The 25030-nt window shown below is 44.4% G+C and overlaps 1 non-coding gene across 1 annotated transcript, besides 2 other annotated features; it reads right to left on the bottom strand.

Annotated features, from left to right (window-relative positions):
* Positions 133-492: a silencer, noted in NCBI's record as "silent region_4764". NCBI's record gives its function as "represses an Ori minimal core promoter by ATAC-STARR-seq in GM12878 lymphoblastoid cells {active_cell/tissue: GM12878}" and the evidence as "EXISTENCE:reporter gene assay evidence [ECO:0000049][PMID:35858748]".
* MIR1827 (microRNA 1827) lies at positions 10302-10367 on the bottom strand. The gene has a single exon (NR_031728.1). It is a non-coding gene; the product is annotated as a microRNA 1827 (primary transcript).
* Positions 14384-14553: an enhancer, noted in NCBI's record as "active region_6853". NCBI's record gives its function as "activates an Ori minimal core promoter by ATAC-STARR-seq in GM12878 lymphoblastoid cells {active_cell/tissue: GM12878}" and the evidence as "EXISTENCE:reporter gene assay evidence [ECO:0000049][PMID:35858748]".

Raw genomic sequence — 25030 nt, 5'->3', positions numbered from 1 at the left:
CCCGTCTCTATTAAAAATACAAAAAGTAGCCGGGCGAGGTGGCGGGCGCCTGTAATCCCAAGTACTCGGGAGGCTGAGGCGGGAGAATTGCTTGAACCGGGGAGGCGGAGGTTGCAGTGAGCCGAGATGGCTCCACTACACTCCAGCCTGGGCGACAGAGCGAGACTCCGGCAGGGCGGGGACTTGGCAGGTGCGGGAGGCAGGACCTGGCTTCCGGGGCGTCGCGGGGGCAACGGCCAGCGGGCGGGGGCAAGGGCCAGCGGGCTAGGACAACTGCCAACGGGCTTGGAGGGGGGCGTTCTACAAATTCCAGGCCACTTTGAGCGCCTGAGAGAGGAGCGGGGCGGCGGGAAGGGGGCACCGCGGGGGCAGGGAGCGCAGCAGCCGCAGCGCGAAGGCGCGGGGGCCGGGGAACAAACGGTTGGCGCGCAGGCAGCCATACCGGGGCCGGAACCCGGGCAGAGGAGGGCAGCGACGGCGATGGGGAGGCTGCAGAGCCCGGGGCGGGTACCGCGCGGGAACCAGCGCGACTGCGTGGCTACCGCAGCCGTCGGTTCGTGTTGGACGGGCGCCGCTGCTGCCTCTGCTACTTCAAGAACCCCCACGACCCGCTGCCCCTCGGCCACCTGGACATAGCAGAAGCCTGCTTCAGCTACCAGCGCGCCGACGAGGCGGCGGAGCAGCCTGCGCACTTCCAGGTGCGCAGCGCGGGAGCCGCCACGGTGCTTGAGGTGGGAACTCGCGCCCTGCAAGCGCCTGGGCCCTTCTGTCGGCGCTCCTTGCCTCCCCTGGGGGCCTGCCCCATCCACCCTCCTTTCTCCAAGGCCTCCTCGCACCCTGCCAACGTCGGCCTGCCTTTCCCCACTTCTCCACATCCCGTCCTCGTTCCTATCTCCTCCCCTCCACCTGGGCTTAGGCCCGGGTGGCTGGGGCTACCCAGCCCAGTCTCCTTCCTCAGACACTTTGACCCATTATCTCCCTCTGCTCCTTCCCTCTGACCCCTCTCTAGTGTCTTCTCACCCCCAGCATCCCGTGGATGTCCGGTGCAGCCCTCCCAAGCATTCATAACCGTAGGCTTCTGCCCCAGGGGCCTCCTTTAGAACTCTGCTAGGACCTTGGTACATCAGTTAACCGCTCTGCCCTTCAGCGTCCTCTAAAATGAGATAGCAGTAGTATCTATATCATGGGGTGTTGAGATTAAACTAATTATACTCTAAACTGCTCAGTAAATGTTAGTACATTTATTTTATTTTTATTTATTTGTTCTTTTTGCCATAGGATCTCGCTCTGTTGTGCAGACTGAAGTGCAGTGGTGTGATTTCAGCTAACTGCAGCCTCATGCCTGGGCTCAAGTGATCCTCCCACCTGAGCCTCCCACCTGAGCCTCCCAAGTATCCGGGACCACAGGTGCAGGCCCACGCCTGGCTAATTTAAAAAATGGTTTTTGTGTGTGTGTGTGTGTGTGTGTGTGTGTGTGTGTGTGTGTGTGTGTGTAGATGGGGGTCTCGCTATGTTGCTCAGGCTAGTCTCGAACTCCTGGGCTCAAACCATCCTCCCCACCCATCTTCCTGGGATTCCAGACGTGAGCCACAGTGCATTTAGCACTATAGACAAAAAGAGTCAGAAATGGCAGGGCCCTTAGAGATATTCCACTACATTTCCTCCGAGAGTGGGCAGGGATGCTCCAGCTAAGGTCACACAGCCAGTAAGTGGCAGACCCTCTTTTCTTGCTCCTTGTTTTGTCCAGGAGAGGTGGGAGGGGGTCACTTCAGCCAGTTAGGCCTTGCTCTTTGAGGCTCTTTTAATCCTCCAGCGAAGAGACATAATGGGAAAAATAATGCAGAAGCAGGAGAGTAGAGTGAGGAGTCCTGGTGCTGAGAGGCCTCCCCTTTCCTTGGGAGTCCTTAGCGGGCTAGACTCTGTCACCTCCGAGGGGTCCACCTGCTTCGAGCACATAGAGGGATCTGGGCCCAGGCCTGGAGCCCAGTATCCTTTCTCCAGGCTGTGCTCCCTGCCTGGCTCCTGTGAACCTCCACCTTCTCTCTCATTCCTCTTCCGCGCTGCAGGCTCGGCTTTCTCCAGGGCAGCAGGGTTGGGCTGGGATGTATGAAAGCACTCTCAAAGCTGGCCACGCGGAGAGCAGAGTAGGCAGGCTCTTGGCCTTATGAGCACAGGACTGTTCCTCAGACCCCCAGAGCTGCTAACAGCTGCAGCTGCCCCCGGAGATGTTCTCAGAGCTTTGTCGACTCAGCTTTTGCCAATTCAAGCAGGATCTGATTCCCATGTTCTCTCGGGCTCCTCTGTCCTGTCTGTAAGTGGGTGCAGACAGCCTGTTTCCCCGAAGGAAGCCAGCCAGGGTTGCAGTCCTACTCAGGCTTACTTTGCGCCTGTATAAACATGGGAATGACCCCGGTGGAAGACCTTTGCCAAAGGTAGAGGCTCTTCCTCAGTGTATACATGGACTGTCCCCATGTCAGGTGAATTTCCTGTAGGATATTTGTTAACAAAGAAAATAGAGCGTCATGTTTCAGATTTTTCTCAGATGACTGTAAAGCCCTATATGGGTTACAGGGCATATTGTCAGGAGCATGGCTTTAGACTTGGATGGGCTTGAACTTGAAGCAGGATCCTGCTGCTCACATGTACTGGACAAGTTATACCACGTCCCAGTTCCTCTTTGGTCTTCTCATTCCTCATCTTCAATGGGAATCTTACCTTCCTCATTAGTGGCTGTGAGGATTCTGGAGAATGTTATGGAAATGGCTGGCACATTTTCCATAGTGGTACGGAAAGTAGTAGGCACTACATGGCATATGAAACATCAAGCAGTGTTTTTGGCCAACTATGTAGTATATTCATATAATGGCATATTATGTGGTAGTAAACAAAGGAACTAGAGCTATAAGTGTCAATGTGGATTACTCTCACAAACATAAAATTGAGCAAGAAATAAGTTACAGACTGATTCTGTTCAGAATGATACCATTTATAGAAAGGTTAAGAAGATCATGTAAAATAGTGCTACAGATCACAAGGATATATACTGTGTCAGGAGGGGAAGAGATGCAAGGGGGTGATGAGCTCTGGTTTCTAGGTGGTGGTTGCCTCTGATGGGAAGAGGGGGGATGTGATTGGGAATGGCTGCCTTGGGGCTGGTGCCTTGTGGCTTCCACTGTTGTTTTGCAGTGTTTTATTTCTTGGACTGGGTGGTGGGTGCATCAGTGTTTGTTGTGTTATGCCATCCATCTTTTTTTTTTTTTTTTTTTTTGAGACAAGAGTTTTGCTCCTGTTGCCTAGACTGGAGCGCAATGGCGCGCTATCAGCTCACTGCAACCTCCGCCTCCTGGGTTCAAGTGATTCTCCTGCCTCAACCTCCCAAGTAAGTGGGATTACAGGCATGCGCCATCACGCCTGGCTAATGTTGTATCTTTAGTAGACACGGGGTTTCACCATGGTGATCAGGCTGGTCTCAAACTCCTGACCTCTGGTGATCCACCCGCCTCGGCCTCCCAAAGTGCTCAGATTACAGGCACGAGCCACTGTGCCTGGCCGCTATCCATCTTGTTGTAGGTTCAGAGTATTTCTTTTTTTTTTAAGAAAAGGAAATATTTTCCTTTGGGTTACTGACAATGGAGGAATATTTTGACATGTAAAATTAAATTGGTCACAGAGTAAGATAATACCTGAGGCCTCGAGTGTTGGCTATTTACAACAATGGAAATGGAAACAGGCAAGGCTTTCCAAAAGAAGGGATCAGGGTTTTAGAGTAGGGGTGTTTTTTGTTTATTTGTTTGTTTTGAGACATTGTTTCACTCTTGTTGCCCAGGCTGGAGTGCAATGGTGTGATCTCAGCTCACCACAACCTCCGCCTCCCAGGTTCAAGCAATTCTGTTGCCTCAGCCTCCCGAGTAGCTGGGATTACAGGTGTACGCCACCACGCCCAGTTAATTTTTGTATTTTTAGTAGAGACGGGGTTTCTCCATGTTGGTCAGGCTGGTCTCGAACTCCCAACCTCAGGTGATCCACCTGTCTTGGCCTCCCAAAGTGCTGAGATTACAGGCGTGAGCCACTGTGCCCAGCCAGGGGTGTGTTTTAAGAAAGATAAATTTCATTGTACCATTATTTCTTTTGAGCTCTAGAAGTAAAAACTTTATGGTGGTAAATAAGGAAATTACCGATTTATCTTCCTTTTCATCTTTCAGATCCAAGAACTGATTCCCATAAGCCTTAATGTTTCACTTCAGGGCTGTCCAGCCATAGAGGAGACCCTGATTTCTAAGGATTTTTAAGTTAGGTTTTAGCCCTGCTCAGACTTCAGCTAGTTGTGTATAATTTTACAAATACCATTTCTTTTCACAGAGGGTTAAAAAGTAAAGAAAAATCAGCAATGTTCTTATTATAGTATTATATATTTTTCTTATTTTAAAGCATCTTTGAGCCTTCTCTGGAGAAGCTGTGGTTTTGTTGGGCTTTTCCAAAATGTTTTACTATGTGAGTCTTAAAGCTGATACAAGAATTTCTTGGTAAACTCCTCTATTCCAAAACTTAGGGATCTGATCTGGTGCCTTATTTTACAGATGCGGTAATAGAGGCTGGAGAGGGTATGTAATTTTGCTGATGTCATGAAGCTAGACTCAGACCCTCTCTGAAAGTAGAGGCTCCAGGAACAGTGAGTGTCCAAAATGTGGAATATCTAATTGTATTGTCCGGTCTGACAAGTCTACTTTTTTTGACTTTGGATATTAATTGTTTTGGATCAGATAAGGTATAGTAGTCTTTCCTTTTACTGTATTTGATAGCTGTCCTTTTTGGACAGTGAGTATCACCAGGAACATTTTACTGCCCAGTTGTTTACCAGGATGCATAATACCTTTTACTGGACATATCTGCAAACTGTTGTAAGGGCCTAGCAGAGGCTGACGCTACTGTGTGCATATCTCTGTGTGTGTAGGGGGGCTGGAGGCTTCTCGTGGAGCTTTACTGGAATCTGAGGCACTTAGGGGAAGGAGAGCATGTGATTGACTGAGGGTGAAGTTTAAACAGCCTTGCTCTTCCGGATCTCTGCAGTCTTCGGAGCAAGAGAGTGTCATCAGACAGTCAGCAAATGATTTCCTTCCTCTGCTGCCTTCTTGTAGGTGCTTGGTGCTCAAATGGACATGTGTGTTGGTTTCCGAGCCACACGTAACGGAATAGCTATGTACACCTATTCTTAACCCACTTTTGTGGGAGTGTGCATTCCCTGTTGTTGAAATTGCTCTTAATGACAAACATGTATTGGCTTGGGTAATCAGAGTGTGTTCAGTACAAACTAGATGTGGTGAACCAGCATTCTTTGCTGTATGGTTCTCCTAAGTTGTTCTACCCTGGAGCATCTACTCAGTCTTGAAGCATTATTTAACCTTTAAGTTATGGGGGCTTAAACTTTTCAAGGCTTTCCAATTAGTAAGTTCCTTCAAGGCAAGTCCAGTATTGTGCTTGTGATACCACAATGGCATTTCATCTTCCACTGCCTTTCACACAGTCCTCATTGCAGGGGAGTCCCCAACCTATTTCCTACCCGCCAGAGGGTGAGCTCCCTAAGGACTGTTTGTATCCTCAGTTCATGCAACAGTATCTGGCACAAAGGAGGCTTTCTATAGACCAGTGTTGGTGTTTGTGTTCCTGAAAAACTCATATGTTGATGCTCCAACTCCCAATGTGATGATATTTAGAAGTGGGGCCTTTGGGAGGTAATTAGGTCATGAGGGTGGAGCCTTCGTGAATGGTATTAGTGCCCTTATAAACGAGACCCTGGAGAGATGATCTCCCGCTCCACCTATGAGGATACAGCGAAAAGGCATTCCTTTGCAAACCAGGAAGAGGGCCCTTGCCAGGAACCAAATTGACCAGCACCTTGATTTTGGACATTCTAGTCTCCAGAGCTAAGGAGTCAATTTGTGTTGTTTAAGCCACTCAGTCTGTGGTGTTTTTGTTATAGCAGCCTAAACTGACTAAGGTATGGTGCCCAGGTAGACACTTGTTGAATGAATGAATAGAAAACGGTTACCCAGTAAGCACTGGTTTTGGTGACGCTTTAGAACTGATCAGCCAGAACTCCCAAATGTACAGATGTATTACATGCCATTCTTGCCTCATGTCATAGAGGAGGCAGCCATTCAGTAAATGCCCACTGAATAGAACGGATATTGGGAATCCAAAAGGGGGTTATGACTCACCCTTCCCCAGAGGAGAGAGCTTACTTACAGTCAGTTCTGTATTTTCAGGTATCTTGTATTTCATGCCCATAGTCAGGACTTCGAGGACACTGTTACAGCAGGGGCAAACTTTTTATGTAAAGGGCCACATAGTATTTTGGTTTTGCACACTCTGCCATCTCTGTCACTATTCTGCTGTGGTAGTACAGAAACAACCGTAGAATGAGTATAGCTGCATTCTGATTTTTACTAATGTACTCTGAAATTTGGATCTCATGTAATTTTCACATTTCACAAAATATTCTTTTAATTGTTTTCAGCCATTTAAAAATGTTAGCTGGGCACAGTGGCTCACTCCGGTACTCCTCCCAGCACTTTGGGAGGCCAAAGTGGGAGGATCACTTGAGCCCAAGAGTTCAAGACCAACCTGGGCAACAAAGTGAGACCCCATCTCTATAAAAATTTTAAAACTGGCCAGATGTGGTAGCAAATGTCTGTAGTCCCAGCTACTTGGGAGGCTGAGGCAGGATTGCTTGAGCCCAAGAGGTAGAGATTGCAGTGAGCTGTGTTCTCACCACTGTACTCCAGCCTGGGTGACAGGCTGTTTTTTGTTTCAAAAAAACAAAATAGCAAAATAAAAATGTTAAAACCATTCTTGGCTTGTAGATTGTACAGAAATAGGCAGAGGCTGGAAATGACTCCAGGCTGTAGTTCACTGACTTGCGTTCTAGGAAGGCCTCAGGAGCTTCCCACTCACTCACTCACTGTGTGTGATTAGGCACTAGGGATATGACTGGACAAGATAGTCCCTGTCCTTGTGGAGCTGTCAGTATCCAGGGAACAGATATTAATAAAATATAACAAACACCAACCAGTGCTAGGAAGTTTGAAAGGAAAGAGAGGCAGTACATGTATAGTTCAGGATCTTGATGTGGTTTAGGGGTTGGGGAGGGCTAGGAAAGACTTTCCTGAAGAAGCGACATTCCAGCTGAGACACAAAGGACGAGTTGGTGTTGACTGGGGGGCGTGGAGAGGGGGAGTAAAGTGTTCTAGGGAGAGGAAGTGGCATAAACAGAGGCCTTTAGGTGGGGGTGCTGTTTGCATGTGGGACTCAAGGAGTGCCTGGTGGCAGCTAGGGGTGAAGGGGACATAGCCTTTGGAAGAGGCAGGGCTTGGGTCAGGGCAGGATTTTGGTCTTTGTCCTAAGAGCTATGGAGTCAGTGAAGAGTTTTAAGCAGAGTTTGACAAATCGTTTCTTTTCTTTCTTCTTCTTCTCCCAAATTGATTGCCTTTGTTTATTTGGGCTGCTGTGATAAAATACCATAGACAAGGTAGCTTATGAACAACAGAAATTTATTTCTCATAGTTCTGGAGGCTGGGAAGTCCAAGATGAAGACAGCAGCAGATTTGGTGTCTGGTGGGGGCTCACTCTCTGTTTTAGAGATGATGCCTTGTAGCGGTGTTCTCACAGCAGAAGGGACAGACAAGTTCCCTCTGGGGCCTCCATCTATGTATACATATATATGTGTGTATATATCCATGTATGTATACATATATATGTATGTATGTATCTAGCTACCTAGCTAAGTGTATTTTTCTCCTGAAATCCCTTTTACCACTCTGGCCTCTTCTATAAGGACCCTGATCTCATTCCAGAGGGGTCTGCCCTCATGACTTAATCACTTCCCACAAGGCTTCACTCTTACTACTATTATCTTGGGGACTAGGTCTCAACATAGGAATTTTGTGGGGACACAGACATTCAGACCGTGGCACTGATGATGGTTTAGTCATGCCTAGTATTTTTATTTAACTAGGTTGGAGGATTATCTTGTTTGTGTATGAAGGGTTGAAGTATTTATATGTTATGTACTGGCAAACATTTAAAAGTAGATAAATGCAAAGCTGAACCTATTTGGAGCAGTTGCTTCTTAATTGTTTCTGAGTTGGGGGTGCTGTGATGGATGAAGCTCACTTTGGCAGGTATGTGTGGCTGGGGCCAGCCCCACCCCGGTGGACTTCCTTTCCTGAAGGATTCCTAATGGCCCTTAGCATTGACTTCTCTCCTGCTGCACTTGCTTTGCTTGTATGCACATTGCCAGTTTCCTTCCACCATGGAGATAACAATTTCTTGAGAAATGAAAGGAGGGGTCAGATGCATTCGGGGTGGAGGTGTACCAGCTCCCACCTCACTGAGGCATCTGATGAGGGTAGACAGGTGTCCTTGGTCAGACGCTTTTACCTTTGAGGCACTGGGGTGCAGACTTCCCACCTCCAGTCAGAACAAAATATAGACAGTAACAACCCCTTCCTCTAAAGAAAGAAAAGGACCCTGCCATTGTATCTCAGACTGGGAGAGGGAAGGGCATTTTCATTAGCAATTTTCAGTTCTGGTATTTATGTAGTGGGGTCTTAATGATATTTGATTGGGTGTTTACCTATATCGTATCAGGCTAGCCCTCAGCTGGGTTTCGTTTACTTTCACAGAATGAATGTATTGTGGAAATGGTAAACTAGGTAGTCGTGACTAATTAGTGGCTTCTAACTAGTGTTCTGTGAAATACTCTGCCTAAAGTGCTCAGTTCAGTAAACATCCTGAGCACTCGGTTGTGTGAGACCATCTGAGGGGCAAGGAGCTGAGAGGATCCCTAGGGAGACTGTGGCTTTCATGATTGTCCAGTAGGCAGTAGCTCACCAGCCAGCACAGGGGGCCCTCAGTCGGCTAGAGATTCAGGATGGTTTTGCTCCCTGATCTAGTCTTTGAGCATCTGCTGTTGTGTCCTACTAGAGCATCACCTCCTAGGAGGAGATTTTGTCAGTATAGTTCACTACTGTGCCTTTCATGCTTAGAGGATGCCAGATGCTTATTGCCTAACCCAAGCTTTAAGCCCTCATATCCTCTTGGAGTGTGTGTGTGTGTGTGTGTGTGTGTGTGTGTGTGTGTGTGTGTAAACCTCTCCCTCTCTGGATCAGTGAGAGTGTTGTTAAGGTTACAAATAAGAAATGCCTAGCACACTGCCTGACTGATTGTAAGTGCTCTGTAAATGGTGGCTACACACCCCAGGCCTGCTGGCATTGCTGCCACTGTTGCCCCTCTGACTCTTTTGAGCCAGTAGGTGAAGTGTGTCTCCACTCCCTTGGGTGGAGTGGACAGGGTGCCTTTCTCAAGGGCAGTTGTGAGGGCTGAGCTGGCCGGGAAGGTGTGCTCTTCCTTCCAGGCCTCCCTCCCACAGGTCTTCTGCGGGCCCTGCAGTTGGCCCTGCTCTGACTCTTAGTTTTTGCTTCATTCTTGACCCACTCAGGCCTGGTAGAAAGAGTTATCTGTGAGCACGGCGGGGGTTCCCAAGAATCTATTATGGTTTTAGTGTCTAGGACTCTAAAGTCGTGACAGTGACTCGTCTCTTCAGCCCCTGTTTGCAGCAGAGGGCGCAAACCAGCTCAAAGCAGGCACACAGATGTTTGGTGAATTGGGAGAAGTTGTTCCTGTCCAGGAGCCATAACGTGGTATTTGTAATTTTCCTCGTTGGAAGGCATGGCTCTGTCTGCCAAGAAAGACAAGGCATGTAGTCACCATGCTGCTGCCTCACAGTGACATTTTTAAAGCCAGACCTTCTAGAGAAGGAAGCAGGAAGGAAGGCGACTTGCTTTTGGGCCCGTGGAGTTTCAGCAGTTGCGGGAAGTTGGCTGGGCTGTGTGTGTGTGTTGCTGCATTGGTGCCTGGTCTTCTTTGATAGCTCCCAGGAGCATGAGGTTGTGCTTAGCAGTTGTGTCCCATCAGTCCTCTTGGTCTCGATCAGTTCACACGCTCCCAGGGCCCCACGTATCAGAAGGGCCGCCGTTGCATAACACTGTCCATGGAAATCACTGCAGTCATGAGAGGAGCAGTGGCTTTGGCCTGTAGACTCAGAGACCTTTCACCATGACTCAGCATGGGAAGCGGAGGCTCAGAGAACTTCAGCCTGTCTTGTCCAGGGCCACCAAGGGAGCAACTGAGCCATGTCTTCTGTTATATTTAGAGTTGGGGGCTGAGGAGGGGCGCCTATCTGCATTCTCTGCCGGTCCTGGGTCCACCTGTTGCAGGGACCCAATTCTAAGGGACCTGAATCAATTCAATCTACTGCCTCAGCCTTTCAGAGGCTTCTCATTGCTTTAGGCTGAAGGCTGTGCTGCTGAACATGGCCTTCAGGGTCCCATGGGGTCTGACTCCTGTCATTTCCTCTGTTGCAGGCCCACTTGACTTCTTGCAGTTCTTCAGATGTATTGTCTTCCCGACAGGCCCTGCCTCAGGCTGTCCCTTTGCAGGGCGGGCTGTCTCTTCTCTGGTTACTTCTGTTCGTTCTTCAGAGAAGCCTTCCCTGTTCCTCCCATTCCTCACTGCCGTGCTTCTCCTTCACAGCCCTTACCACTGCCTGTAGTTACTGTATTTCTTTGTGTACTCATCTGTGGTCTAGCTCCCTTGCAAGGCTGGGAGCTCCATGGGGCAGGGACCCTGTCTGTCTTGTCTCTGGTTTACCCCAGTGCCTCACACGGCCTGGTACATAGTGGGTGTCCAGCATCGACTTGAGGAAGAGTGATGAGGGAAGGCTCCAGACCCTTTCAGGGGCAGAGTTGCTCTACTGCTCCTGCTCCTGCTGCTTGGGGCTCATCATCCTCTGCCCTGCACACCCGTGGCAGGGGGGGTCTGCCCACACCCACCTGCCTTTGTGCCACACTCCCTTCCCTAGCAGGACGATGGTTCCTCTCAGCACTGTCCTTTTTGTTTGGCCTCCTGGTGGGAGGTGAAGCCAGCTGGACTTCCTGGGTCGAGTGGGGACTTGGAGAACTTTTCTGTCTAGCTAGAGGATTGTAAACACACCAGTCAGCGCTGTGTCTAGCTAAAGGATTGTAAATGCACCAATCAGCACTCTGTAAAAACGCACCAATCAGTGCTCTGTGTCCAGCTAAAGGATTGTAAACACACCAATCAGTACTCTGTAAAATGGATCAATCAGCACTCTGTAAAATGGACCAATCAGCGCTCTGTAAAATGGACCAATGAGCAGGATGTGGGCAGGGACAAATGAGGGAATAAAAGCTGGCCACCCCACCCAGCAGCGGCAACCTGCTCGGGTCCCCTTCCATGCTGTGGAACCTTTGTTCTTTCGCTCTTCATCATAAATCTTACTGCTGCTCACTCTTTGGGTCCGTGCCACCTTTAAGAGCTGCAACACTCACCGCAAAGGTCTGCAGCTTCATTCTTGAAGTTGGCGAGACTAAGAACCCACCAGAAGGAACCAATTCTGGACACTGGGAAGGATGTTACCTTCGGACACAGTGTTGTTCACTTTTTTGACTGGGAACCGACAGCAGATAATACACCTTTGTATGTAAATGTATACTGTCAGTATGTACATAAAACTGAAAGAAAAATGTCACTGCTACATATAGTAAAGCTAAGTACTATTTTCTCTTTTAATACTAAAAAAAATGCTTGTCCCCTCAAAATTGACTTCTTATCTTCTTAATTTGATATCCTGGCCCACAGTGGGTCACCACTCAAGTTTAGAGAAGCCCATTCTGCAGGACTGCCTGGCTGTGCAGCTGGTGCTCCCTCCCTCCCTGCTGCATTTTCCTCTCCCCCTCACTGTGGGATGGGGCTGAGGTTGTTCCCTTGGGTAAGAGGCTGTCCCTCCCTGCCTTCAGCAGTTTGAAGGGTTCTCAGGAAGACAGGCAGGCAAGGCCTGTGAGTCCTCTGCCACAGGTGCCGTAGGGTGCAGTTCAAGGCTGAACCCAGCATGTCACAGCCTCCCTGGGTGCACCAGGAAGAAATGGCTTATTCTTTGCGGTGTGGGTTTTGGGAGAGGCTAGTGATGGTTTTGCTCTGAAGACGAGTTTTGACTTAAAGGGCTTGAGCGATGGAGAGGGACTGGCCAAAGGGAAATGTAAGTTCAAGGACACCCATGCAGAGGCAAGGAAGTCAGAACAGGGTGTGTCTCACAAGTGGCATGGGTTCTCATGCCAGGTGCATAGGGTGCTTAAGGGGGTGAGGATAGAAGAGGAGCTGAGGAGGCCAGGGAGCCCAGGGTGAAGGGGTGGGGGTGTCTGCCCTTTGGGCAGTAGGGAACCAGTGGAGCTGTACCTGTCTGAAAGTTCTACAACAAGAGTATTGTTTCTTAGATGTTTGGTTTATTTGAGGCTGTGCACGTTTTATTAGGTGTTTGCTCTAATGTGTTAGAATTGGAAGGATGATGTACTCATCTGTCCAGGTAAATGTCTAGAGTATTTTGGAAAGGGTCTTTCTGATGACACCCTCCCAGATCCTCAGGATCAAAAGACATCATATCAGAAGTAAATATATTCTAACTTTGGACATTAATGCTCCAAACTTGAATGCCAGCTGAAGCCTGGACCACAGCAGAAAGCAGCCTCTCAAAGTCCTTGGTTTGAAGGGCAATAGCTTTTTAGAGAGTGATTGTATTAATTTGCTCTGGCTGCTGTAACAAGTTACCATAAACTTGATGTTTTAAAACAACACATATTAATTCTCTGATAGTTTGGGAGGCCAGAAGTTCAAAATCAGCTTCACTAGGCCTAAGTTCAGGTGTCGACAGGACTGGTTTCTTTGGAGGCTCCAGGGCAAAGTCGGTTCCGGGCCTCTTCCAGCTTCTGGTGGCTGCTGGCATTGCTTGGTCTATGGCTGGCTTGCTGTAATCTCTGCTTCCCTGGCCACATTGCCATCTCCTCTTCTGCAGTTGAATCTAGGCCCACTCCTGAGATAACAGCGTTAATCCATTCGTGAGGACTGAGCCTTCATGGCCTAATCACCTCTTAATGGTTCCACCTCTTAATACTATCACAGTGACAATTACATTTCAACATGAGTTTTGGAGGGGACGTTCAAACCATAGCAAATGACCTCTGGCTTGCAGGCCTGCCACCTGATAGATTCCCCATTTGGCCTGCCTTCTTAGTTGTGTGTTTGTACTTCATTGTAAAAGTCATGCATGTGTATAAAAAGAAAAATCAGCCATTGCTGAGGGGTGCACAGTTAAAAGTGAAAGTCCTTCTAAGTCCACTTCCCAGAAGTCACCACTAGAACTGAAATTGGTTATGTATGCACCCTGAAATTTGCTCGGTGTATATGTGATCTACACAGAGGGATCATGCAGTATCCACTGTTTTAGTGTATAGCTATTTCAGTGACTTAGAATTCCACTCACTCTTCCTTCAAACACAGTTTCTCTATATTTACCATGTCATGAGGCCCACTTATGCCAAAGCTGTGCTCTTACCTGCAGGTGAGTCAGGAGGGGTTAGCAATGGCGGGGAGTGTAGGGCCACTTGCCATGCCCCTTTGAACTGGGGCATTATATAGGCACTTATCTGGAATGTCTTAACTTGTTAGTCTTTATTAGAGCTCTTGTTCTAACAGAGTTCAGTTATATGAATGCGCCCTAATTTAACCAGTTTCCTAGCCACAGACATCTGCTTGTTTCTACTTTTTTTTGTCATTTCAAATAGCATTTTTGTGGTATCCTTGTGTGTGTATATATGTATATATATATATATATATCTCTGTCCTTGTGAGAATATATTTGAGGAATTAATTTGTGGAGGAGGAAATACTGAGTCAACTTTATTGGGATGGCTACAGAGGAAACTCCCCCAACAACCTCCTCCCTGGACCCCCAACCTTTGTTTCCCTCAACAGGGCTTGTAGTCTGGAGGGAGGGAGGGAGCTGGCAGCAGTGGTAGCCTACCTCCCTCCCGTACACGAAGTCCTGGCAAGTGCAAACCCTCTGCCTCTGCCATGTCATCCCACTGCTGAAGAGGTTGTGGTGTTGCCTAAAATGTGGCTGTGCAGGCAGTTTGTGGAGGAGTTAACTCGGAAGAGATTTGATGGAACATTTCCCAACAATTCTGTCAACTCGTAAATTCTGGCTGGTTATCAGAATTCAAACGCATGTCAAAAAACGCATATCAAAAAAATTATTACTGTTTTAGTTAAGACATTTTTAAACTGTTCAGACTTCCGTCTGAAATATGTAAGCTTAGAAAGCAGTTTTCTTAAGGATGACAGCGATCGCTGATATTTGTTTAAAAAAAGCTCAGGCTGAACACAGCCCCTACTAAGGTGCTGTTTTGCTGCTTGCTGGAACTTTCTATTTCAGAGCAGCTGAGTGTTTATAGGTGGGCACCTAGCACAATGCCTGGGAGAACACAGAAGGCCCTCTCAAAGATCTGTCAAATGAGATTGGGATCTTTAAACAGCAGATACTGCCATAGAACAGACTCTAACACCAGCTTAAAAAATAGCCTCATTTAAACCAGCTGTGAGCTCCGCAGTAGAATGCACAGGCAGGACACATGGTTACCACCGAGGCCTCTGTGGGCCAGAGCAGATGGGGTGAGTGTGTCTGAAAAGTCTGCACCCTAATGACCCCCTTGTTGCCCAGTCCCAGAATTGGGTTTCGCCACAAAAGAGCTAAAACAGGAATTGGCTATATAGTGTTTCAGTTTCTGGAGGCTTTCACTTTGAGCCTGATTCCATTTCTCTGTTACCCAGGGCTTGGCAAGTGGCACCGCACCCCCAGCAGGTTAGAGCACAGCTTTGTGTGAGTCGGCTTGTGACAGGCTGGAAACACAGAACCACTGTGGGAGGAAGGAGGGTGTGTGGCAGTTCTAAGTCACTGAAATTGCTGTTCTTTCTCCCCAGGCCATGTGGGGTGTCACTGTTCTTACTCCTCTTTCCTGCATTCCCCCTTTAGGAAGCAGAGCCAAGGAGCACAGTTTGATGGCTAGGGCAAGTGGCAAGGAGAATTGAATTCCTAAAATTGATGGTGTTAGTAGTCACATACCACCTAAGAGAAGGCTGTTGTGAGATCCTTGCCATAGGCAGGGCCACTGAAACGTCGTGGTACACTGAGTCCAGCGGCGTGTCAAAAAAACGAGCAAAAGTAAAGTAAGCATTTGTGAGAGTTTTCTTCCTGAGCAGCTATTTTGAAATAGCTTTCTCTACACTTTTATAATTTTTTATAATTTTTATAAAATCAGACTTTATACAGTATCTTGCTCATTAGGTCACATGGGAATTGACTAGAATCCTTTTATGCAGTGTTTTATGAAGATGTGTGGCACAATGCCAGGCTCTGGAAGAGACTTAGGAAATAAATAGCATGTGCAAGATGCTTTATGTTGTTGACCAGCTCCCTCTTGGTCCTAGGTAAATAAGCCATGAGAAAGTGAATATAGGTTCTAAACAGTGACTCTTTGTTAAAGCAGTTAGCAAAAGGTTATACATTCACATGTTGTAACAGTGTGATGAGAACATAAGTGTGTTATATAATTTCTCTTCATTCTTCTGAATGTTTAAAGTACAAGTAAAAAGGAAACACGATATGCTTTGAAAAACACATTGAGGGGTGGGGTGTGGTGGCTCACGCCTGTAATCCCAGCACTTTGGGGGGCCAAGGCAGGCAGATCACGACGTCAGGAGTTTGAGACCAGCCTGGCCAACATGGCGAAACCCTGTCTCTACTAGAAATACAAAAATTGGCTGGGGGTGGTGGCAGGCGCCTGTAATCCCAGCTACTGGGGAGGCTGAGGCAGGAGAATCACTTGAACCCAGGAGGTGGAGGTTGCAGTGAGCCAAGATCACACCACTGCACTCCAGCCTGGGCAACAAGACTGAAACTCCATCTCAAAAAAACAAAAACAAAAACAAAAAACCACACACATTGAGAAATGACTATTTTACATGAGAATATCATCTGCCTGATTCAAACTAGAGATGAAACCACCTTTTCCCTCCTTATGTTTAATCTACCTCAGAAAACACCACATTATACATTTCTTCCTCTTCTGTGTTTATTTGCATGTTTATTTTAGTAACTTCATTGAGGTATAATTTACCTCCAATAAGTTCACTTATTTTAGGTGAATAGGCTGATGAATTTTAGAAATTATACACATTGATGTAAACACCTCCACAATCAAGATAAATAGAACATTTCCATCACCTTTAAAAATGCCTTCATGCTCTTTTGCAGTTGATCCCTTCCCTTAATCCCTGGCCCTGGGCAACCTCTGATCTGCTTTCTGTCATTATAGCTTTGACTTACAAAAATTTTATATAAATGGAATCCTACTCAATGTAGTCTCCTGTGTGTCTTCTTTTTTTTTTAATTTTTTTTTATTTTTTGAGATGGAGTCTCGCTCTGTCACCCAGGCTGGAGTGCAGTGGTGCAATCTCGGCTCACTGCAAGCTCTGCCTCCCGGGTTCACACCATTCTCCTGCCTCAGCTTCCCCAGTAGCTGGGATTACAGGCACCCACCACCAAGCCCGGCTAATTTTTTTGTATTTTTTAGTAGAGACGGGATTTCACCGTGTTAGCCAGGATGGTCTCGATCTCCTGACCTCGTGATCCACCTGCCTTGGCTTCCCAAAGTGCTGGGATTACAGGCGTGAGCCACCGCACCCGGCCTGTGTGTCTTCTTTCACTGAACCTTTTGGAGACTTATTTATATTGTTTGGTGTTTTCTTATTTCATCCCTTTTATTGCTGAGTAGTATTCAATAAGTACAGCTCTATGAAGTAAGAGGATATAAGCATATGTGTGTGTGTGCATATAAGTAGGTGGTTCATGTGAGCATGTCTCTTCCTCACCACTCCACTTACTGACTGCTCAAATGAATTAATTTAAGATGTCTCTTCATCTTTTGACAGTTTAACTTTTAAAATTTGACTATTCCTTTATTTCTTTTGCAAATTAAGGTTATACTTACAACTTTAAATATTATTTATATTAAGCAATTTGGTTATCATATGCCTTGATACAGTTTTCTTCATGATTCCTGTGCTTGAAGTTTGTTGAGCTTCTTTGATCTGTGAGTTTATAGTTTTCATCGAATTTGGAAAATTTTTTGGTCATTATTTCTTCATATACTTTTATTCCATCTCCTCCCTTTCTCCTCTCCTTCAGTGACTGGCTCATTTGTCCATCCATCCTTCCTTCCTTTGTTTCTTTTGTCTTTTTTTCTGTTTCATTTTAGGTCATTTCTATTGCAGGGTCATCAAATTCACTGGTCTTTCCTTCTACAATGTCTAGTCTGCTCTTATTCCTATTTAGCATATTTTTCATCATAGGCATTGTAGTTTTACCTTTGGAAATTTGATTTAAGTCTGTTTTTAAAAAAATATCTTCCATGTCTCTAAGATGTTCATTTTTTTTTTCTAGCTCTGAGAACATGAAGAATACAGTTAGAACTTTTAGAGTCCCTGTCTGCTAATGTTATCATTTGTTGTTTCTGGCCTGTTTCTGTTGATTGATTGTTTTCCTCATTATGAGTTATACTTCCCACTTCTTGCATGCCTGGTCATTTTTAAAATTGGATATCAGCTATTGTGAATTTTACCTTTTTGTGTGCTGGATTTTTTGGTGTTGCTATAAATATTCTTGAGCTTTGTTCTTGGATGTATTAAATTACTCAGAAACAGTTTGATCCTTTTGAAGTTTGCTTTTAAGCTTTGCTAGGTAAGATGAGAGTAGGCTTTAGGGATATTGTTGGTAGCCTTTCTGAGTACTCTTTCGGATGCCCTGTGAATTATGAGGTTTTCCACTCTGTCTGGTGAGACTAGGCACTATTTCTGGTCCTGTGTGAGGCTCTGGGATTGTTTCCTTTGCTTCTCGCAGGGGGTTCTTTCTCTGTTCTCAGATAGCTTTCTTACATGCAAACCCTGATCAGTACTCAGTTGGAGATTAGGGGGACCGTCTAAGATCTCTGCAACACTCCCTCTGTGCAGCCCCCTTCTCTTTATTACTCTGCTCTGTCAGCTGCAGCTGCCTTGAGACTCCCCACTCTATCTTCTCAGCTCAGAGAGATGCTGGGCTCCTCCTGGGTGCCCCTTGCCTGCACCCTGGCCTGGAAACTGTCCCCGGACAGTAAGGTGGTCTTACCTCATTGGCTTTCTCTCTCTCAGGATCACTATCCTTTGCTGCCTGATGGCCAATGACCGAAAACCACAGTTTCTATACTTTTTTCAGTTCTTTAGTTTTCACGGCGGAAGGTAAATCTAGTTCCTTTTATTCCGTCTTCACCGGAAACAGAAATCCCAACCTAGTTTTTAAAACTTTTAATGAAATATTTTTAGCACACGGGCAAGTATATTGATTACTCAGATAGCCATGACTCATTTTTATAGTTTTGTCATTTTTCCACTGCATTTTTAAAAACAAAACATTACAGATACAATTAAAATCCTCTCTTCTTTTTTTTTTTTTTTTTTTTTCCAGACAGAGTCTCATCCTGTTGCCCAGGCTGGAGTGCATTGGTGCAATCTCGGCTCACTGCAGTCTCCATCTCCCGGGTTCAAGCAATTCTCCCATCTAAGCCTCCCTAGTAGCTTGGATTACAGGCATGCGCCCCCACACATGGCTAATTTTTGTATTTTTAGTAGAGATAGGGTTTCACCATGTTGGCCAGGCTGGTCTCAAACTCCTGACCTCAAGTGATCTTCCCACCTCAGCCTCCCACAGTGCTGGGATTACAGGCGTGAGCCACCGTGCCCAGCCAAATCCTCTCTTATTAATCCTATTCTTCTTTCCCTTTACAGAGGTAGCCAATATTCTGTATTTGATTATTGTCATTCATGTGTGGATTTTAAAAAATAGTTTTACTACATATGTATGTATCTATAAATAGTCTCTATTAACAGTATTATCTGAAGACATAAAACAGTATCATGCTGTACCTATAATTCTTCCATTTTCTTTCACTTTTCATTCAGCATTTAAAAAATATTTATCCCTATGATACAGATAGCTTTAGCTGAAATGTGCATTCCACAAGAACAATAATCTTGCTATGTTTTGTTCACTAGGATATTCCAAGCATCTAGATAGTGTCTGGCATGTGGTAGGCTCAATCAACATTTGTTGAATGAATGAGTTCATTTTAAGTGCTGTATAGTACTTGACTATATGAATATGCCACAGTTTATTCTCCTGTTGATGAATGTTTAGCTTGTTGTACCTTTTTTTTTTTTTGTAATATGAACAGTGTTACAGTGAATGTTCTTGTTTGTGTCTCCTTGTGCACGTATGTAAGGATTTATTTTAAGAAATACTGGGTGTTAGGGGCAGGCGCCTCTCCAACTTAGCAGTACCTTGCTGAGTTACTCTCCATGGTAATATTATCAATTTATACTCCCACCAGCAGTGTATAAGAATGCCAATTTCTCCATATTCTCACCAACATTTGATATTATCAGATATTTTAATTTTTGCCAATCCTATATACATAAGATTACGTTTTGTTTTACTTTTGTTTTTGTTAATAACACATATCATTTTTCCCAATAGAAATTTGATGTCTTCTTTCCATCCTGGGAATGGACATAATGATAGTCGGAGGTCTGTGTTTTATGCCAATGAAAAGTGGGAATTTTTAGACCCAACCCCTAAGGACCTAGAGGAGTCCATAGTACAGGAAGAAAAGAAGGAGCCAACCCCTGAAGGAAACAAAGGTATCAACACACTTCCTGTTGTCTGTCATTCTCTCTACTGCCATCTGTTAACCACCAGTGATGTGGGAGGCACTTTATTAGCAGGTATTTCTAGAAGCATAAGGCCTAATTGGGGCTTGCGTTTCCTTTATGGGACTTAAAACATAAAGGCTTGGCAAATTATTTAATAAATGTTATAAGAAATAAATGACTGTCTAGTCCAATGGCTCAAAATTTTTTGGGAAATAAAACACTTGGAAGTCATGATCCTCTTTATGGAAATATTGATTTTAAAAAACTGTATAGTTAATATAAATGATCAGGGCCAGGTGCGGTGGCTCATGCCTATAATCCCAGCACTTTGGGAGGCCGAGGTGGGTGGATCACTAGGTCATGAATTTGAGACCAGCCTGGCCAACATGGTGAGACCCTGTCTCTACTAAAAATACAAAAATTAGCCAGGCAGGAGAATTGCTTGAATCCGGGAGGCAGAGGTTGCAGTGAGCCGAGATTGCGCCACTGCACTCCAGCCTGGGCAACAGAGCGAGACTCTTCCTCAAAAAAAAAAAAAAAAAAAAAATTTTGTCTTTAGAAAACTCATCAAATTAAGATTGATAATTCAGAATAACATTGGATTTTTGTTATTTGAGTAATATTATATGACTGGCATTTTGGGAAAATCATTCATTTCATTCTTTCTGTATCAGGCACATTTAGAGTTTATGACCTGGTTCTGTGTGTAATCTTATTCTTCAGATTCCCAATGCACAGTTTTTGCTTGTCTGTAGATGCTGTTGTTATTATGACACACATAATAGGTGTGTCCATTAGGGTAGGGTAGGGTAGGGTCCATTGGAGTCACCGTAGCTATTTATTCAAATAGGATCTTTCCAGAAGCATGTATTATAGATACTATTTGATATTGAATCTTTATTAAAAATTGTTTTAATGGTTAATAGATATTGTGAACTGCCACTGTATGTTCAGTTGGTTACCTTTTGCCCTCATTTATTCTACTCCAACAACCGGCCTAGGTTCTGTTCTTCAAACCTACAAGGCATGCTCCTATCTCAGTAACCTTTACAATTGCTGTTCTTTCCATCTGGAATGCTTTCTCCACATATCTGCATAACTGACTTCCTATCTGCCTTCAGATCTTTGTGCAAATGTCATCTTAGGGAAGTATTTTCTGATCGCCCTAGTTATAATTGCAACTTAAATCTCCTACTTCTTGTCCCTCTTTTCTACTTAATTTTCTCCTTAGCAACTATCACTATCTGGCAGGCCCTATATTTCACTGCCTCATTGTCTTCCTCCCCTTTCCTAGAATATTAGTTTCATGAGAGTAGGAACTGTATCCACCTAGTTGCCTACTCAATACATTATACCTAAGACAGTACCTGGAGTAAAGCAGATACTAAACTATTTGAGTGAATGAAAAAACAAAAAAACAGGAACGAGTGAGTGAATGGATGAATAAAAATATAAATGGTTGAAAACATATATGAATAAATATGTAGATGAAAAATACTCTAAGGCCAGATGTGGTGGCTCACGCCTATAATCCCAGCACTTTGGGAGACCAAGGCAGGCGGATCATGAGTTCAGGAGTTCGAGACCAGCCTGGCCAACATGGTGAAACCTGTCTCTACTAAAAATACAAAAATTAGCCAGGTGTGGTGGTGGCGTGTGCCTGTAGTCCCAGCTACTCAGGAGGCTGAGGCAGGAGAATCGCTTGAACTCAGGAGGTAGAGGTTGCAGTGAGCTGAGATTGCGCCACTGCACTCCAGCCTAGATGACAAAGTGAGATTCCGTCTCGAAACAAACAAACAAAAATACTCTGATAACAACCTGTATTTTTTTGCAGTAGAAATAAGATAACCCATTAAAAAATTGAGTTTTTAGATATAGATAATTTTTTGCTTGCCTGCCTGGCAATATTTAAGTTAAGTTGGTATCCAATGTTATTTAGCTACAGTAATGTTTGGAGTGCTATAAAATTTGTAATCAAATACATTTGTTACTTTTTAAAAAGTTTATTATCTGTGAGAAAAGAATAGTTTTCAAGTTTTTATAGAATTAAGCAATACATGGGACAGAATTTTTTTTTTTTTTAAGACAGAGCCTTGTTCCATCGACCTTGCTGGATGGAGTGCAGTGATGCAATCATGGCTCACTACAGCCTCCTGGGCTCAAGCACTCTTCCCACCCCAGCCTCCTGAATAGCTGGGACCACAGGCACACCACCACAGCTGGCTTATTTGTTTATTTTTATTTTTTTGTGGAGACAGAGTCTCCCTGTGTTGCCCAGGATAGTCTCAAACTCCTGGGCTCAAGCAAATCCTCCTGCCTTGGCCTCCCAAAGGCCTGTAAGTGCTGGTATTATAGTCGTAAGCCGCCACACCTGGCTGAGAAATCTTAATTCTTTCTGATAATATGTCAAGTATCCCTTTATCACCCCAATAATGTTTATGCAGTCTGGCTAGATTTATAGTGATGAGAGCTCTTTTTTGCACATAAATCCTAGGGGTATAGGAAGTCTGACTTTCAAATCAATAGAGTAACTAAAATATTTTAGAGCCACTTAAATAGATGACTGCACTGGTAGGTGTGAGACTCATCAGTCCATCAGAGCCATAGTAACTGTATATTGGAGAAATTGGAACCGCTTTATCTCTGGATAGCCCTGGGCTGCTGCTTACCTGCTAATTTTGAGTTTCAGTGCAGTTAATAGATTGGGAGTTTGGAAGAAAGCTTAGCTTTCCTCATTGAAAACTTTAAAAGGCAGATGGTCTGACTCCTCCAGACCCCTCAACCCACACCAATATTGCATACAACCCTCCACCTACATACATATGTGCACAGCCTAGATAAAAAATTAGTTGTACGCTGCATGATACTGAACATAATGAAGCTACTAGATTGTGACTTTCTGAGGACCTGCTTGGTTCTGAGTTTTCTTCTCCTTTTCAAGTAGTCTGGAGATTATGGTTTCACATTAGGGTAATTCATCTAACAATAACTGTTTTGCCAAAATCTGCTTTTTTGCATTGGACAAGTGCTGCACTTACTTTATTCTATACTGTGTGCTGTGTTTATCGCTTTTATCTTTGTATTCTTTGCATCTGTAGCATGTTTGCTGGTGGTTTGTTTTCTCTTTGCTATTTTGACCAGTTGACACATTGGAGATTTTCTCATCTGTAAGAAACTATTTTTAAAAGTTTATGTTCCATCCCCTTTTCTTTCCAACTTAATGCACTAAGCATCACTTTTTTGTTTCTTTTTGGCTTTTTTTTTTCTTTTTGTGGAGAACGGGGTCTCTTGCTTCTAGGATTCTAACATATTTGCACCTTATGGTTTCTACTCTTTGATAAATTTTCAAGTTTGTGTCAGAAGCCATAGCCTTTATCTTGTACTTCCAGGCAAATATTATAATTCCTTATTTTTCAACAGTTTCACAAAGGCTGAAAAATTTGCCTCATACTTCCCTCAAAGCCAAACAGTTGCTTCAAACTTCATCTACAAATAGAGGTAAGTACTAAGTTTAAAGTTCAGCAGATGATCTAATTCAGTCTTAAGCCTTTTGACATACTGAGTCAGTGGTGTCTGTAATATAACATGTTTTAGTCTTTTTAAAAAAATAACAATAGGCCAGGCGCTGTGGCTCACGCCTGTAATCCCAACACTTTGGGAGGCTGAGGTGGGTGGATCATGAGGTCAGGAGATCAAGACCATCCTCGCTAACACAGTGAAACCCCGTCTCTACTAAAAGTAGAAAAAATTAGCTGGGCATGGTGGCACGTACCTGTAATCCCATCTACTCAGCAGGCTGAGGTAGGAGAATCGCTTGAACCCGGGAGGCAGAGGTTTCATTGAGCCGAGATTGCGCCACTGCATTCCTGGGCAACAGAGCGAGACTCTGTCTCAAAAAAATGAATAAATAAAAAATTTTAAAAAGCAATAAAATAATGAGAATTTATTATGTTATTTGGGTAAATCCAGAAGAAACATTTTCTACAGAGGTATGTATTGGGTTGTTTTTCTGAAAGGAGTAAGTGATATATAGAGAATTTATTTTTGTTACCAACTTAAAACTAAAGGTCATTGTTTCAACTTTATGCCAACTGAAATTCATAAGTGCTTTAAAATGAACTTTATATATACATTTTAATGGACTCGAGCAAGCATTTTTGGACTGATTTCATAGAAGTAGAATTTCTGGAGGAAAATAATATAAAACAGTTTTAGGGATTTTAATAGAAATTTTCAAATTATCCTGCAGGAAAATTGGTTCAGTTTATACTCCCACCAACAGTGACAGAGCTCCAGTTTCCTCCTTCCATCTGTCATCTTTGCTGGTCTTTAAGCAGACAATATTGTTTTCATTACATTTCTTTGGTTTCTAGTGCTTTTGGATCTTTTTTACGTGCTTACTGGCCATTTTTATTTTTGTAGGAAGTGCCGGTTTCTCCATTGCCCACTTTCTGTTGGAAATCATTTGTTTTTTTCTGAGTAATTTTATAAAATTATAAAATATTTTATCTTTTTTTATCATTTGTCTTTTTCTGAGTAACTTTAAAGATTTCTTTATAAGCTAAGGATACAAACCTTTTATCTGTCATTGAAGTTACAAAAACTTTTTCCCAGTAAGTAATTTGTCATTTTGCTGTATTTTTTCTTTGCTTTTTGCTAGCCAAACTCCAAAGTCACATTTTACTTAATTTTTATCCTGCTGAATGAAAGCATTTTAACTTAGTGATTTTAGTGTAAACAGGAGCAGGACAGAATGTAATTATCTAGGTCTCGTTCTGTCACCCAGACTGGAGTGCAGTGGCATGATCATAGCTACTGCAGCCTCAAACTCTTGGGCTCAAGGGATTTTCCCGCCTCAGCCTCCCAAGTAGCTAGGACTACAGGTGTGTGCCACCACGCTCTGCTAATTTTTAAAATTTTCTGTAGAGATATGAATTCGCTATGCTGCCCAGGCTGGTCTTGAACTCCTGAGTTCAAGTAATCCTCCCACCTTGGCTTGCCAAAGTGCTGGGATTACATGTGTGAACTACTGCTCCTGGTTGAGAGTTTACTTTTGTTTGCTAGTGGTGTTCTTGGTATCTTTTCACATTTGAGGCTTTGGTGCTAGTGCTGAAGTATTACACTCACCATCTAAGGTTTACAGGGCTTGTGTTTTAATATCGAACAGATGAAACTGTTCTGCATCTTTGCAGGTATACAAAATGTGCCTACCAGGACTCTCCTTTGTATCCATTGAAAGCAAGAAGTAATAGAGTAAAATTTTGCCTGGCTAGAGGCTTTGAAAGAATGGAGTATTCTGGTTTAATTCTATTAACTTAGA

This window comes from Homo sapiens, chromosome 12, assembly GCF_000001405.40.
Source record: "Homo sapiens chromosome 12, GRCh38.p14 Primary Assembly".
Taxonomy (NCBI): Eukaryota; Metazoa; Chordata; class Mammalia; order Primates; family Hominidae; genus Homo; species Homo sapiens.
The sequence above is the reverse complement of the archived record's forward strand: the minus strand, read 5'-3'. Positions and strand labels throughout refer to the sequence as shown.